This window comes from Homo sapiens, chromosome 6 (assembly GCF_000001405.40).
Source record: "Homo sapiens chromosome 6, GRCh38.p14 Primary Assembly".
NCBI classification, from domain to species: Eukaryota; Metazoa; Chordata; class Mammalia; order Primates; family Hominidae; genus Homo; species Homo sapiens.
This window is the reverse complement of record NC_000006.12, coordinates 163,106,917-163,124,554: the sequence shown is the minus strand read 5'-3', so window position 1 is coordinate 163,124,554 and position 17,638 is coordinate 163,106,917. Positions and strand designations below refer to the sequence as shown.

Below are 17,638 nucleotides of genomic sequence, written 5' to 3'. Positions count from 1 at the left end.
AAATAAAATAAAATAAAATAATGTTATATTCCTACAGGATTTAAACTAGTTTATAGAATTAACTTTTGTTCACGTGCCCAAGGTCACATAGTTGGCTCCAGAATTTAGAAATTCAACTTAAGACCCAGTAGACAAGGTCTTAGGTAATTGATTATTTTTTTAAGTCACATTCTATGTATTTTCCTAATTTAAAAAAAAACTTAGCAAGTCCTGGTCAAATTGTTCTGAAGTTGGCCTATACTTCAAATCCCCTTTTTCCCCCAGCATCAATTTCTGCACAGCAAAGGAAACAATCAACAGAGTGGAAAGGCCACCTATGCAATGGGAGAACATATTTGCAAACCATGTATGTGATAAGGAGTTAATTTCTGAAATATACAAAGAGCTCCTACAACTCACTAGTGAAAACTCCCAAAAAACACAATTACAACATGCAAAGGACTTGAATAGACATTTCTCCAAAGAATACATACTGCTGCCACTATGGAAAGCAGCATGGAGGTTCCTCAAAAAATTAAAATAGAATACCATATAAGCAGGCAATCTTACTGCTGGGTATATACCCAAAAGAACTGAAATTGTGATCTCGAAGAAACATCTGCACTCCCATGTTCCCTGCAGCATCCTTCACAGTGGCCAAGATGTGCAAGCAACCCAATTGTCCACTGATGAATGAAATGTGGTATATGCATATAGTAGAATACTATCCTGGCTTTAAAAAGAAGGAAATACTACCATTTGTGACAACACGGACAGATCTGGAAGACATTATGCTAGGTGAAATAGTCAGAGAAGAAGAAATACTGAGTGATTCCTCTTATATGGAGCATCTAAAAATAGTCAGATGTACAGAAGTAGACAATAGAACGCTGGTTACTAGCGGATGGAGAGGGGGCATATGCAGAGTTGCTGTTCAATGGATTATCAAATTACAGTTACACAAGATAAGTTCCAGAGATCTCCTGTACAACACGGTGCCTAGAGTTAACGATAAGGTATTGTGCACTTAAAATTCTGTTAGGAGGGTAGTAATATAGGAGTTATTAAGAAATAATTTTTAGGCAGCTAGAAAGGGTGAGAGTTCTTGGTGGAATTTTCCTATAATAAAAAGCGACCCCCCAAACCATTTCCTTTCTAACAGAAAGCAGCTTGAAAAACCAGGCTGGCAACATTGATATGTAAATGCCAGCAGCTAAAAACCAGGTCCACCCGACATGGCGGTTCCCGCCCTCTTCTCCTTGTCACCACAGCTGTCATGGCTGCCTCCAAATAACACCACGTGTGCAGGACATCATGCCGACCCGCATTTGCATATTAAAAGGCTAGGGTGGGAGGACCAGGTTGGCTATGTGAATGACACACCTGGTCAAGCCAATCCCCTGGGCCCTAAGCAAATCAGACACCGCCTCCTCCAGCCTCCAGGTATAAACAACTGTTTTTCCTGGGCACACGGGGTTTTTCTCCGTTAGGAGCCCAGCTCCTTCTGTACCGGGGAGCTGTTTTCTTCTTTCTTGTTTCTTGCCTGTTAAACTCTCCGCTCCTTAAAACCACTCCACGGGTGTCCTTGTCGTTAATAGCATTGGCATGAGACAAAGGACCCTGGTGTTTCTCCAGTCTTCGGAGCTGTATCAGTAGTCTTATGTTAAGTTTTCTTCCCTCACACAGACACGCAAAAGGAAACTTCTGGAGATGATGGATGTGTCTGTCTCCTTGTTGTGGTGATGGTAACATAAATGTATGTATACCTCCAAACTCACCAAATTGTACACATTAATTATGTGTGGTTTTCATATACCAATTTGTCTTAGTCCACTTGTGTTGCTATAAAATAATACCTGGGGTTGGGTAATTTATGAAGGAAAGGGGTTTTTTGTCTTCCGATTCTGCAGGCTACACAGGAAGCGTGGCACCAGTGTCTACTTCTGGGGCTGCATCTGGTCACAGTGGAAGTCGAAGGGGAGCTGTTGCGAAGGGATCATGTGGCAAGAGAGGAAGCGAGAGAGCGAGGGGGAGGTGCCAGGCTTTTTTAAACAAACAGCTCTTGTGGGAACAGCAGGGTGAGAACTCACCCATTACCATGGGCAGGGCACCAAGCCATTCGCGAGGGATCTGCCTGTACCACCCAAACACCGCCCGGTAGGCTCCACCTCTAACAGTGGGGATCAAATTTCAACAAGCGATTCGGAGGGGTCACACAAACCAACTATAGCACAATTACATCTCAGTAAAGCTGAACAAATAGAAAAGGAAGTGTGTGTGTGTGTGTGTAAATGCGTTAAAGCAGAATGAAGATGGACAAACACATGAGAACTCAGAAATCTATCAAGTCAAAGAAGAACTTGTGAATTTGTCTATTTTTTTCTCAAGATATTATCTAAACATTATGAATGTACTTATACTAGAAATTTTTCTACTCTTCTCAATGGAACTAGAGACCAATTTCAATGCCCATAGTAGGTATCTAATAGTATCAAAATCACCATTAGTAGAAAATGACCATTAATAAGGCGCCCTCTTTTCCTTCCAAAAACTCCTCCGCATGTATAGAATAGCAGCAAGTGAAAAGAAAAAAGAGAAAGAGAAAAAGATCACCGGCCAGGCGTGGTGGCTCACACCTGTAATCCCAGCACTTTGGGAGGCCGAGGCAGGCAGATCACAAGGTTAGGAGATTGAGACCATCCTGGCTAACATGGTGAAACCCCGTGTCTACTAAAAATACAAAAAATTAGCCAGGCATGGTGGCGGGTACCTGTGGTCCCAGCTACTCGGGAGGCTGAGGCAGAATGGTGTGAACCCAGGAGGCGGAGCTTGCAGTGAGCTGAGATCGTGCCACTGCACTCCAGCTTGGGTGACAGACGGAGACTCTGTCTCAAAAAAAAAAAAAAAAAAAAGATTACCGAGAAGGATGAAATGAATGCTCTATAAATTTAAAATAAACTTAGGAAAATGAGCTTCTGATGGGTCTGTTTTATGACTGAGAAGTGATGTGAAATTCACATACTAGGTGTATTTCAGAGCAGAGAGGCCGCAGCAGTCCTGGATCGGCTGGAAGTGACAGTTGTAAGAGTGATTGCAAACCTACAAGATGAGCCAAAGAGAGTGAGCCCATGACTCTGTGCATCACAGAAGCCCCGAGGTAGACAGATAATCCATCGAATAGAAGTGACAGACTAATTTGTAAGCAAAAGGATTTGTAATATTTAGCAAAAAGATAAGGGTACTCCATAGCACTAAAATATAAGGCAATTGCACTGACAGTCCTGCTTAAGGAATGGAAAAGAGAAGGATAAACTATGTATAATGCTTTATGGTTTATAAGGTCCTTTATAATATTTGTTCTTCACAACAAAATAATGATCACTTCTATTTTTTGATGAATAAATTGAGGTTTGATGAGGTTAAATATGTGACCCTCAAACCATATTTCAGGCATTCATTCACTACAATATCTACTGAATTAACTGTAGCTATTTCTTAAATTTGTAGTGATGTTGTTATGTTATGACTTTGACCATAGAAAATGGAAGAGTATATCTATTAGCTCTTGAATTTAGAACAGCTCCCATTTTTTTCTTTAAGCAACATTTTGCTCTTAAAGTCTCATGGTCAGATGCTTCCTGGCATTTGGCTGGAGGAATGTATAGCTAGGGTCTAGTGAGGTATGGCATTGTTCCCTTGAAAAAGGAATGAGGCCAGGCATGGGAGGGCCTGGGTCTAGCTTATTCCCCCGGCTGACAAGGATCATTTGAGCTCCTTCATGACCAGAACTCATCCAGGGATGCCATGGAGACTGACTCAAACTCTTCAGTTGCAGAATTCTTTGGCTAAAATGAGTATTATACAGAAGTCCACAGTATTTTTTTTTTCTTAAAAAGAAAAACCAAAAACAAAAGTAGAACTACTTTTGCTGATGAGGAGAAAGTAGACGCAGATTTCTGCCTTGCACATAGTAGGCACTTAAATTTTGAATAAGTGAATATCTACCTCTGCGGTAACCTCTTGGCTAACTGTGGATTAACTCATCTCATGTCCCGTGGGTCCAGGCTGCCCCTCTGTGCAGTGTGGCTGTCTGGTCTCAGGGCCTTCAAACTCTAATAGGATCCTTTGGGAGCTAAAATGCCTCACCCCAACAGCGCCCCTAAAGGTGGGCATTTCACACACTGAGGACAGAGTAGCTAAGAACACATAACCATGACCATGTTGCCCACTTAGTTTATTCATGGGGGCAGATGTGCAGTGGAAACAAGGGAGATCCTTTAAGACTTGTGGTGTGACACAGCTGATGCTTCTGGAAGGCCAGCAGGAGTTACAGCAGAGCAGAACTTCTTTTCAAAAACAGTTGAATACTAGGTCAGTATTCAAGTGACCCACTATAGCTTTCCCTCTTATCTTATTTCATATAATTCATCCTAGAGCCACACAAAACACAGCCTTTCCCCCTAAACCTCTACCTACTCTGTAAGCAACCTCAAATCACATTTCTATTATAAAAAAGGAATGTATTATTTTTCTCGTGCTATGAATGGGAAAACTAATACTCTACAAAATGTGTCTTAGAAAGGAGGCCAGAGGCTGAACCGACACCAGAAATGATGAACATTTGGTCTTTCAAATGTGGAAGCAGAAAATGAATGGTGCCAGATATTTGATTTGAATAATAAGCCCCAAAATGTAATCCTAACATTTAAAGCTATAAAACAAACCAACAACAACAACAACAAAAATACATAAAATGATGTTGAAATTAAGAGAGAAACTTTTTGGGGGGATTGTTTTCTCAGCACTTTTCTTGCCTTGACCCTCCTATTCTCACTATTAAGATGTTACAAGAAGTGGTTTTTATGCAACATTAAATTGTCCTAACCATCTTCAACAACTCAATACAAGATTCATAAACAAAAAGCACAGGTTACAATCTCCTGTCTATATCTGGTCAGATTTATGAAGCTTGCAAAATACGTAACACTTGGAGTCTCCATCATCCCGAGATGGGTGTAGCTGAGCAACTCCTGCATGACGTTGAGCTGTTCTGAACAATCTCTGCTGGGGCTTCTTCTCTCCCTTCAAAGACAGTTTGCTTAGAGCTGCTGGGCACCAATCACTTGATCATCGTGCCAGGAAAAGCCAATTTCTTTACTATTTACGTCACACTCACTGGGTGCCAGGTGGTGTCCTGAATGCTTTGCTAATATTGACTCAATCCTTGAAACAAACCCATGAGGTAAGTACTGTTAATACCCAAGTTTCACAGACGAGAACATGGTGGTACAGATGAGTTAGGCAGCGTGCTCGCATATCTCATGGCTGCGAAGAGCTGTGGCCTGTATTGGGCCCCAGGAGTCTAGCTGTAGAGCAGGAATCTGCAGTTGTCCCCTCTGTGGCCCTCGCAGTTAAATGACAACAATGAGCATCTCTGAGAGCACAGCAGATGGCCCTGGGATCTGCATGCAGCGGGGACTCTTGTGGATGTATTTTCCTGCTCATGCCTGAAAGAGCCCCTTGAAGGCTTTGGTTAAGCAGAGTCCACTCTGGGTGAGCTCTCTTAGAATGTGACCTAGACCTGGACTTTCTGAACTTTTTCAAGTAAAGGAAAGAACAGGAATGGGTCATTGAAAATATCCTAAAGCTTTATGTGTTCTGTTTTCAGAGTTTTTCCGAGTCTCTATGCAAGGGTCACTTCCCACATGTCTGAGAAGGAAAGAGGAGGTGAGAGGAGAGAAATAGAGAATCAGAATCTGCCCTTGAATGAAACACTATTTGAAGCATTAAATCACTAAGAGAATGCAACCCTTGAAGGCAGATTGAACATGGAACTTCTGTTACCTTATTAAGTCAAACCAGTTAGAAACCAGATGTCTCCTAAGAAATGGAACATATTTGTTTACAAACATATATAGTAAATGACAAGATGTATGGAAAATAAATATGACACTCTCTGAATTTTTAAAAAGAGTTCTTTACTAAGTTAGCAAGTGACATAGGTAAGGTAGGATCAGCCTAACATGAATAACAGTTTTCCTTTAAAGGACCCAGAAACGGGGATCTATAAATAAAATACATTAGCCATGCAGTAACTTTGCTTAAAAAATATTTTTTTGTGTTTAATTAGTAATGTTCTATCACACCTTAAAGAATGGGGCCTCACTTCTCTCAAACCTTCCCTTCCACATGCCCTGGGTGAGGAGACATGGAATCAGTGACTCAAAGGACAAGTGGCACCATTGCCACTATCACTCAGGAGGTGAATTGATGCAAAAATAAGACAGATCAGAAGCAGGTGATACGCTGCTATTCATAAACCCGTTCATCCGAAAATTGAATGCCTCTCTCCAGACGTCACCCCTAATGGGTAGGTAGGTGGCAAGTATTATTTTCCTCTTCCTTGTGCAGTGTATAAACACCTTGGCAGTCAGTGTGCTCTGAGGAAATAATTCCTGTTTTCACCTCGGTTTCTCCCCTAATGCACAGAGACTATATATATAATGCCACATAATGAATTACTGACAGAGTCAATAGCAGACTCGAGGTTTTCTATGTCCCAGTTAAGACGGAATGCTTAAGTCAGCCTTCATCACTCTTACAGGCTTAGTTCTCTTAAACCTCAACCTAATTTTAAGAACAGCCATGTTGTCAATTCTCTGCCTGTACATTAGGTAAGACAACAAGCATGAACATCAACACATTGTCACATCCATGATCTTGCTTTCTTCTACCCAGCTGAACAGTTTCAGAGTTTGATTATCTAATCTCCACATAGTGACCTTGCCTCCCTTTTTCATTAGAAACTTTTTTTTTTTTTTTTTGAGACAGAGTCTCGTTCTTGTCACCCAGTCTGGAGTGCAGTGGTGCAATCTCGGCTCACTGCCACCTCCGCCTCCCAGGTTCAAGCAATTCTCCTGCCACAGCCTCCTGAGTAGCTGGGATTACAGGTTCCCACCACCAAGCCCAGCTCATTTTGTATTTTTAGTAGAGATGGGGTTTCACCATGTTGGCCAGGCTGGTCTCCAACTCCTGATCTCAAGTGATCCACCTACCTTGGCCTCCCAAAGTGCTGGGATTACAGGCATGAGCTACTGGACCTGGCCAGAAATTTTCTTTTGCAATCTCAAAACCTCCACTCCTTTCATGACCTTTCTGATTTCCTGGGAGCCCTCACCACCAGCCTCCTTAGTGCTGGGGTAGGAAACCTCCCCAGTGGCTGGAGCCAGGCGGCCTCAGTCTCTAGGTGGCCCCTGCCCTTGAGCAGTGAGCTGAAGCCACAGCACAGGGGCCACTCAGTAATTCTGTACTTGTTGCTGGCACCAAGAAGGGTTCCACATTCACAAGTGTGACTGGGAGTTCCACTGTGATGCTCTTTCCTAGATGGTTTGCAGGGACCCTGAAGGGTAACGCTAGACAGTGTGGGATGAGTGTTCCCTGAATTCATCCTCCTTTTATTCAACTTCTGATTTTCCTCTCCTGGCTTTCTGATTTTCCACTTTCCTAGCTGTACCTGGGCATGCTCACCCAGCTTTTGGATGAAACTCTTCCTCCGAGGGTGACAGGGAGTGGAGAAATGATGCTGGCCACGGGACAGGCATGGAGAGCCTGCCCTTCCAACTTGCTTCTGTGAGTGCTCGTCTGGGGATCCCTGCAGCACCTCCGACTCACCACGTCCAGGACTCAATGCACCACCTGCGTCTCCTGTGTTCTCCAGTGCTGAAAACGGCATCACCATCCTAACACCCAAGCTTCTCAGTCATTTTTGAATCATCTTCTTCTCTGCAGCCCATACTTAATGAACTCTTCAGTCTTGCTGATTTTAAGGTGCCAACTTCTCAGGCTTTTTCCTCCTCTCCATTATCCTGGTGCAAACCCTTGAGAATGGCCCTTGAGCCCCTGACCTAAGCCCTAGAAATAGTGCCATGAGCAAACATCTACACTCGTTTCTTTCAAAAGACCTTTGCTAAGCCATGGCTAACATTTTCATTTCCGTCATACCTGGACTGCTGTCGCTGGTCTCTACAACCAAGAGCGCTCTGCACACACTGTTGTTCTGACTCTCTCAATCACTCCAAATATATAAAAGACTCACTTCCACCCAGACACATCCCCCCCATTTGATACAGTTTGGACCTATTTCCCTGCCCAAATATCACGTCGAATTGTGGTCCCCAGTGTTGGAGGTGGGGCCTGGTGGGAGGTGATTGGATCATGGCTGCGGATTTCCCCCTCAGTACTGTCCTCACGATAGTGTATGAGTTCATCTGAGATCTGGTCATTTAATAGTGCGTAGTATCTGCTCCCTAATCTCGCTCCTGCTCCAACCATGTAAGACGGGCCTGCTTCTCCTTCGCCTTTTGCCACGATTGTAAGTTTCCTGAGGCAGAAGCCCAGGAGCAGAAGCCGCTATGCTTCCTGTACAGCCTGCAGAACCATGAGCTCATCAAACCTTGTTTCTTTATAAATTACACAGTCTCAGGTATTTCCTTACAACTGTGTGAGAATGCACTAATACACCCCTCAGGAAGTTTCCCTGTCCTCTAGAAGTGTAACTATATCTCAGCTTGGGAGGGCAAGCAGGGATTAAGGTCCTATAGGCCCCAAATGCCCATAGGCATGAATAGCTTTTCTTCCAGCATTGGAATAGATGCAGCAGCTGAAGTGGCTCGCTTCTGTTAGGGCGTGGTTGCACTGGAGGGCCATGACGTAATTACTACACTTCAGAGGCAGGTGAAGAGCTGAAACTGACAGAGGAATGCAGGATTCTTATGTTTGATCTCATGGTCTCTCCAGAGTGTGGACCCAAGAGTAGCGTGGAAGGTGGAGTGGACAGAAGGGGGCCTGGCCTGCTCTCTGGGCCTGGTTGGATTTGAATAAATTACAGTAGATGCATGCTGACTTCACATTGCAATCGCAGCCTCGTCCTGCTTGTTTTTATTTTCAACTCAAGTCCGTCAATCAGTTTTCATCCTTCAGGTTTGGCCCTGTTGTTTCCTCACTCATGTATAATCTTTCACACAAACTATCTCTTAGGGTAGGGGCGTGGGGGAACTATAGACTAATTCCCTTCATTCATTTTGTATGCATCCACTGCAGTAAAAATCAATTTAGAATCCATCACTCTTAGGATGCTTTTCTGATTAAGTAAGAAACATTTACCATCCACACAGCATATCAAGCTTTACCACTGGACAATTTTAATGCAGATTAAAGCATAAAGTAGCTCTCTGCTTTTTCCAAGATCCAGACTGGTCCCCTAGAAAGCCTTCCCCGATGCCCCCAGATAAAGCGAGTCATCCCCTCTACTCAGTCCCACCCCACAGAATCCAGCCCAGTATAATAAGGTCACAGCCTACATCGCCTTTATTCATGTGTCTCTGGAACTCAGCATGCAGTAGGTATTCATTAAGTATTGATTTTATGAGATTCAAGGTTTCTATTTGTATATAAGAGATTTAGTTGGCTAACTAACAGTTTCAATGGTTGATTACAATCCTAAATGATCCATGTCACTGGGAAATCATAGACACATCTTTAAAGAAGCTTCCTCTTTTATTTCCAGCTTTGTTGAGATATAATTGACAAATAAAAATTGTATATACTTAAGTTGTACACATGATGTTTTGATATATGAATACATTGTGAAATGATTATCATAATCAAGCTAATTAGCATATCCATCACCTCACATTATTACCTTTTTTTTTTTTTTGATGCTGAGAACATTTGATATCTACTCTCAGGAAATTTCTAGTATGCAATAGAGTATAATTAACTGTGGTCACCATGCTGTACATTAGCTCTCCAGAATTTATTCATCTTATAACTGAAATTTTGTACCTTTTAGCCAACATCTCCCTATTTCTCCCACCCCACAGCCCCTGGGAACCACCATTCCATTCTCTGCTTCTTTAAGTTTGATTATTTTAGATTCATCATATAAGTGAGATCATGTAATATTTTTCTTTCTGTGTCTGGCTTATTTTACTTAGTATAATGTCCTCCAGGTTCATTCATGACACTCCAAATAGGATTTCCTTTATTCCCAAGACTGAATAACATGCATATATATATGGATGTTAGAATTCAGTCTTCATTCTTAGTCTTTATCTGTGTAGTGAATTAATTTGCTTCTCATTTCTTTTTGTAAATATTCTATAGCTATTTTCTTTGTGGTCACCCTAAGGATTACGTTTAATATCCTAATGTTATAAGACTCCAATTTGAATTGATACCAACTTAACTTCAATAACACACACAAAAAATGCTCCTATGCAACAGCACCCTCACCCTTTTCAGGTTTTGTTGTTGTTGTTGTTTTTGAGACAGAGTCTCAGTTCTCTCACCCAGGCTGAAGTGCAGTGGCACAATCTCGACTCACTGAAACCTCCACCTCCTGGGTTCAAGCAATTCTTGTGCCTCAGCCACCCAAGTAGCTGGGATTACAGGGGCGCACCACCATGCCCAACTAGTTTTTATATTTTTAGTAGAGACAGGGTTTTGCCATATTGGCCAGGCTGGTCTCAAACTCCTGGCCTCAAATAATCTGCCCACCTCGGCCTCCCAAAGTGTTGGGATCAGTTATCGATATTACAAAATTACGTCTTAATACACTGTATGTATGTCCAAAAACATGAACTTGTATTTTTTATGCATTAATAGGTTAAATAATGTAGAAAACAAAATGTGGAGTTACACACCAAAGTGAAACAATACTAGTTTCTATAATTGCTCATGTATTTACCTTTACCGAGACCTTTATTTCTACATATGGCTTCAAGCTAATTTCTAGTCATTTCAATCTGTGGCCTCCTTTTAGTGTTTTCTGCAGGGTGGGTGTAGCAGTAGCAAACTCCCTTGGCTTTTGCTTACCTGGGAATGTCTCAATTTCCCCTTTGCTTTTGATATACAGTTTTGCTGGATATTGGGTTCTTGGTTGACAATTTTTTTTGTTTGTTTGTTTTGTTTTTCCTTGCTAAATACATTAGCCCATTGTCTTCTGGCCTCCATAGTTTCTAATGAGAAGTCAGTTGTTAATCTTTGGAGTATTCTGTATACGTGATGAGTCCTTTTTCTCTCACTGCTTTCAAGATTGCTTGTCTTTTGATGGTTTGATTATAATATGTCTCAGTGTGGTTCTCTTTGAGTTCATCCTACTTAGAGTTTGTTGAACTTCTTGGATGTTTACATTCATGGCTTTCATCATATTTAGAAAGTTTTCAGCCATTATTTCTTTGAATAACTTCTCTACCGCTTTCTCTCTCTCTTCTCCCTAGAATCCCACAATGAACATGCTGGTCCACTTTATGATGTTCCACAGGTCCCTCACTCTTTGTCCACTTTTTCAAAAGAGAAATGCTTTTTCTTTCTATTCCTCAGATTCTGTAATTTATTGTGTTATCTTTAAATTCACAGATGATGTTTCTGTCCACTCTAACATGCTTTTGTATCCTGATAAATTTTTTCTCTCAGTTACCGTCCTTTTTAGTTCCAGTTGTGAAGCTGGTTTCTTTTTAGACTTTTTAAATTTTTTTATTGGTATCTTCATTTTGTTCATACATTGTTTTCTTGACTTCCTCCCCATGTTCTTTTAGTTCTTTGAGTATCTTTAAGATAGTTGTTTTTAAAGCCTTTGTCTAGCAATGTCTACTATCTGTTGTTTCTTAGGGACAGTTTCCATTGATTTATTTTTTACTTTGAATGGACAATACTTTCCTGTTTCTTTGTATGCCTTGTGATTTTTGTTGAAAACTGGATATTTGATCTAATGACATAGTAACTCTGGAAATCAGACTACCCCCTTCCCCAGGTTTTTCTTTTAAAAAAATTGTTCTCTGTTGTATCTGTGCTGTTGACCAGCCTGAGGTGTAAACCTAAGGTCTTCTCAGGTCTTCTTTAGGCCTGTGCCTTTCCTTGGGCATGCATAGTGACTTTCTAGTTGCCTTTGCACATGTGATTGCTTTTAAATGCCTGGTTTCCAAAAGAAGCAAAGGAGAAAAATGAGGGGGAAGGAGAAAAAAAGAAAAAGGGGGTTACTGGCCATATAAGTTCCCTGGAAATTGCTTCAACCAGAGGGGGAGGGGCTTGCAACAAATGAGGGAGGGATACAGCAATAGTTGCCCCCTCTGTGTTTGCAGCTCCACATTCAGAAGCAGCAATCAGAACACAGGTCCCCAAGTTTTGGAGGAAAGGGTCCTTTTCACCTGCACTGGCTCCCACAAGCTGTGTGCAAGCTACTCTAGGAACAGGTGCACAGCTCCCTGCCATAGGACTGGGGGATGGGTAGCTGCCACTTTGCTACCAGCTTATATGACTGAAATTAACCACAATTTACCTTCTAAGCCTTTCTGTGAATGTTTCAATCCTTAGAATAGATGCCAGACTTCAAAAAAAGTTCCATCAGACAGATTCTGTCAATGCAATTGTTGTCTAGGTAGGGAGGCAGATGCCTGGTGCTTTTTACTCTACCATCTTCCCAGAATCCTTTCCCTCAATGCCTTGCTTTTAAAAATTCCTCAATGAATTTAATAATTTGGTACAGTGTCACCTAAATAAAGCAAATCAAGTGAAAACCTAGATTATCAGAAAATAAAATTTGGGTGTAAAAATTCCCTGAAAATTCAGAATATGATTAATTTCTTAAAATGAGTGCCCCTCAGGCATTTAAATATATGATTCAATTTGTTAAAATTAGATTTACACAATATGTGCCAGGAGCATGTTTATTAGATAAACCAAGATACACCCAAGCTTGCAAGCACGTCCCTCCAAGGAAATCAGTTAATATACTTAGAATAAAAATAGAAAAGACAAGAGCAATGCTTAGCATGAAATCTCACAGATTATTTCACAGAAACACAGGTATTACACTGAAGAATACAGAATCACAGGCATGTTCTATAACAATGACACATTAAGAAAACCATCAGCTCTCTAACACTGACCACAAGTGGGTTTCAAAGGGAGGGGGCTAAAAGCAAAACAAAACAAAATAACCTCCTTGAATGTACTTAATTAGGCACTTCAAAACCAGAGCAGAAAGCATCCTATCAGTTCTAAGTTTATGCAGTTATTAAATTTGAAGGTTGAATATTATTTTGCTCCAGGCAGTTCAACTAGCTGTGTGGATGTTGTTTGTATAAATGCCTCATTATGCATAAAAGTGGCATAAACACCCTGTACTTACCTTGCATTTCTGTAAAAGAACTAATTATCAATAGCATCTACTTCATTGTTCCCCACCCTCTGGTATGGAAATCTCATTGATTTTGCCAGCGTTTACAAGGGGATCATAAAATCCAGAAATTATTGATTCCACAGCTCAGGTATGAGTTGGTGCCAGGCAATTGGGATTAACTACAGTGTGGGAGGGAAGGAACCCTGGGGTTATCTGCAATGGAACCCAGGTCTTCCTGTTCTTGGGCAGGTTCTAGCGTAAAAGGCTCTGCACAAAGTGGGTGGTGAGAAGAAATAGGAATGAATTGCTTGACTATAAATGACAACATGCACTGAGGTTGAAGGAAAGAAAAACAGATGTAAGAAGCGGAAGGAGAATCTGCATCACAGAATGTCCAGCAGGAAGAGGGAAGAGCATATTTGGATTTGACACATGTGGATTTGAAGACATGTGAGTGTTTCTCCTTCCTACTTGCTAGATGAAGAAACACACAGACGGACTGAATGACTGGCCTGTGGTCATGCAAGCTATGAAGACAGCAGTAACTGATCCTGGGTCTCCTCATCAGCCATACCATGGCCCTTTCAAGAGGCGGTGTTTGCTTCATTTACTCTGCTTCAGTTAGCTGGTTTCCTGCCAACACAACAGGTCTGAGGGGCTGAGCATCAAAGTGCTGCCACGGTGACAGCCCAGGGGCTGCTAGAGGAAGGTGAAGGTGTGCAATGTGAATGTTTTGTATCCACCCTCCCTCACCATGGTATTTTGGCTCTACAAGGGGCTCTGTGGTGAAGACAGCAATGTGACCACTGGGAGTCTCAGACAAGAACGAAGCAAATTGAGCTGTGCTCTCCTGCCTGGCCTGAAGTTTGTTCAGATACTGCAGATAAAGGCACTTAGCACAGTGTCTCATGTGGAGGGGATGCAGAGTGACTGTTGGCTGCTATCACCATCATTATTGTCACTGGCACTTTGAACTCCAGTGAGTGTAATTATATATATTTGTGCTTTTATTAATTTACATGCACTATTCTATATTTGCTGCTTAGCACAGTGGTTGGCACATATAAAATATTCAGTAAAAATAATGAAATAGATGAATGAATGGTTTTTTCTATGGCATGTGTGTCAGAAGAGGTGGGATAACCCCATCTGTACCAGGTACCAGGAAGCGAACTCTTCCCAGACTGGCGTCATGAATCTGCACAAAGTGAAACAGTGGCCTAGCAGCCTTCAGGAGACATTGCCATGTTTTCCTCTGCCCTTTCTCAGTTGGAATCTGTGAAGATGAACTACCTCTTCTTTCCCCTGGATTTCTATCCATAAATGTATCTTTGTACAATTGCTACCAGCATATAGTATCTCCACACTAGAAATCTCAGTGGCCAAGCTCTAGAAATCTCAGTGGTCAAGCTCTAGAAATCTCAGTGGTCAAGCTCTATCTTGTGATTTTCCTGCCATCTCCATGAAACTGATATTTATCATTCATTTCTCTCTAATGAACCAGTTATATACTTGAGTTTGCATATCAAGTCCCAATCTCCTTCTCAATTTCACTGTGGAGGAGGCTCTATAGTACCACAGAAAGAGTCATCATGTAAATTCTTAACAAAGTGAAGAATTCTTTAAAAAGTGGAAATCCCTGCTTGTTTATTCCCAATATTCAGTCAATTGGCAGGTTTTCTGTTTCTTCTTTTACAAAAGTGTCATTTGTCCCATGAGCATATGTGCTGAGACTTCAAAGCATTGAGGGGAGGAGGTGCTTAGGAAGTTGATTTTTCTCTTTCCTACTAAAATGCTCTACTTACTAAAATGCCTTAGATAGGACTCAGATAATGTTAAGAGATTATAAAGATAGAAATATTTCAAAAGGAAGAAAGGAAAACCACAAACTACTACTACAATTTTGTCCAGCATTCTTTTGGACTGGTGGCTACCTGTTCCTAGAATTGCTGAGAGGTTTTTCAAATCGAGATGAGACAACAGATGTAATTTTTGCTGCATGGAGAACAAAGAAGAATTTGCTATCATAGACAACGTGTGATAGTGATGCTCTGAACTCACTGTTACAGCATAGTAGGGGCAGCTGGCAACAGTGGGGTGGGTACACAGTTGCAAATGAACAAGTAATAAGATTGGTAAATGATTGACTTTTGGGGAGCAAGGGAAATAAATTATTGAAAGAGTACACCATTGGATTCTTTGTAAAAGTTGTCTGGTAGAGAAACCTTACTTTCAATCACAAGTTTTCTTTGCCAATATGAAATATGACACTGAATCCAGCTAGCTGGGCTATACCCTGTCCAATAAAATGATGAGAAGCAAAAGAGCAGAAAACAATCAAGATGTCAGCATGCCTACTGGAGGGTTGACACAGTCTTCTGCCAAGGTGATACTTTGCTTTCATGCCAAAACAGTGATCTAAAGTTTTATCCTGAAGAAACAAGCGACTTTATGGGCTTTTGTAGGTTTCTTGGTGAATATTATTCTTGTGCATCCTGTTCTTTGATGTATTGATTTTGATGAATACATAAAGATCAGGTACAAGGCAGACCTTTTCTTTGTTGGATTCCAAATGTACAAGAGATCTACATTTCCTGTATTTGTATGGACAGTGTTATTAGTCTGTTCTCACATTGCTATAGGTTGGCGCAACAACTTAATATGAAGAACTACCCAAGACTGCGTAATTTGTAAGGAAAAGAGGTTCAGCCAGGCACAGTGGCTCACGCCTATAATCCCAGCACTTTGAGAGGTTGAGGTGGGTGGATCACTTGAGGCCAGGAGTTCGAGACCAACATGGCAAAACCCTGTGTCTACTAAAAAGACAAAAAAAAAATTAGCTGGGTGTGGTGGCACATGCCTGTGGTCCCAGCTACTCAGGGACTGAGGCCTGAGATTGCTTGAACCTGGGAGGCAGAGGCTGCAGTGTGAGGAGACTGCACCACTGCGTTCCAGCCTGGGCAACAGAGCAACACCGTCAAAAAAAAAAAAAAAAAAAAAAAAGGGAAAGAGAAGAGGTATAATTGGCTCACGGTTCTGCAGGCTGTGCAGGAAGCATGGCTGGGGAGGCCTCAGGAAACTTACAATGGTAGAAGGCGAAGGGCAAGCAGACACTTTCTACACGGTTGGAGCAGGAGGAAGAGAGCAAAGTGGGTGGTTCTACAGATTTTTAAACAACCAGAACTCGTGAGAGCTCACTCATCATCATGAGAACAGAAAGAAGGAAATCTACCCCAGTGATCCAATCACCTCCCACCTGGCCCCTCCTCCAACATGGGTGATTACAATTTGACATGAGATTTGGGTAGGGACACAAAGCCAAACCACATCAGACGGCTTCAGCCTCAAACCACCTCCCTTATGTCAAACCTAAAACTTAGATAGCAGAGGACTATTAACAGTTATTAATTTTTACACATTCGGAGGAAAGCAGGATTCCTATATATCTAGGCTATAAAATAACTTGAAATGCAAACTTGCATAAGAAGAAACAACCAAATTTCAAACAACATGTTAGGATTTTGGAGAAATTTATAGAGCAAGAGAAACAAAGGGAAACAAAGAACAGCAAATAAATATTGTCTAGAAACGTCAGCATTAGGATGTAATCAAGATTGAGTCCTTGTACATTTGGAATCCAACAAAGAAAAGGTCTGCCTTGTACCTGATTTTGATGTATTGTTGAAAATCAATACATCAAAGAACAGGATGCACGAGAAGAATATTCACCAAGAAATCTATGGAAACTCATGAAGCAGAGAGGCCCGGTCCAGACAGCCAAATGAAGCCCCCAGTGGGAACGTTACAGGAAAGCAGATTTTGGTTAAATATTGAAATTGTATTAGTTAAGCTGTTGCAAAACAGTATCAGTCCTAATGGGATGCAGTGTGCGCCGTGTGACTCAGGAGATTCAGGCAGGGGTCTCTGCCCACTCGTTGAGGGTTGACACTCAACTGGGATCCACCACCAATGAAATAAGGCCATCTCAGTCTGAAAAATTCCAGGAGCTTTTTGTTTGTCATGTTTGTGACATACTAAGTGTTTTCATTCATTTGCAGTTTGTGGCCTTTATTTTCAATGCATCTCTGCCTTATATTTATAGTTAAGATCAATGGCTCTACTTGATATTCTTTCTGTATATCTTCAACATCTTTCTCTTTCTCATCATATTTCTATTAGATTTTAAAAAATATGAAAGAACCCTCATGGTTTTAGGTTTTAATCTCTCTACCTACTAAAATGCCCTTGTGCTTTTCATCATATTCACTGACCTTCTTTTTCCTTTATCTATTTCTCTCCCTCTCTCTGTTTCTCTTTCTCATTCTCTCAAGATAAACATTCAAGCTGAAGATCCACCATGCCCTAATTTAGACAGAATGACTTTCTTCTTGATCATTATTTGCAACTCATCTTCCCCAAACTTAAAAAAGTGAAACTAGAGCCTTTTTTCCTCTTTTCAAGTTACAATTAATTTACATA

General features: G+C 41.3%; 1 protein-coding gene across 11 annotated transcripts in view; it reads right to left on the bottom strand.

Moving 5' to 3' along the window:
- PACRG (parkin coregulated) overlaps window positions 1-17,638 on the bottom strand; it is a 588,369-nt gene that overhangs the window by 190,946 nt on the left and 379,785 nt on the right. Inside the window, exon 5 of one of the 11 annotated variants that reach the window (XM_006715345.5) lies at window positions 2-5,688. The exons of 8 other annotated variants lie outside the window; for them this stretch is intronic. In XM_006715345.5, coding sequence (XP_006715408.1) covers window positions 5,663-5,688 — 26 coding nt within the window. In that variant the 3' untranslated portion in view covers window positions 2-5,662. 2 more of the 11 variants (XM_011535469.3, XM_005266826.6) reach the window with 2 other exon arrangements.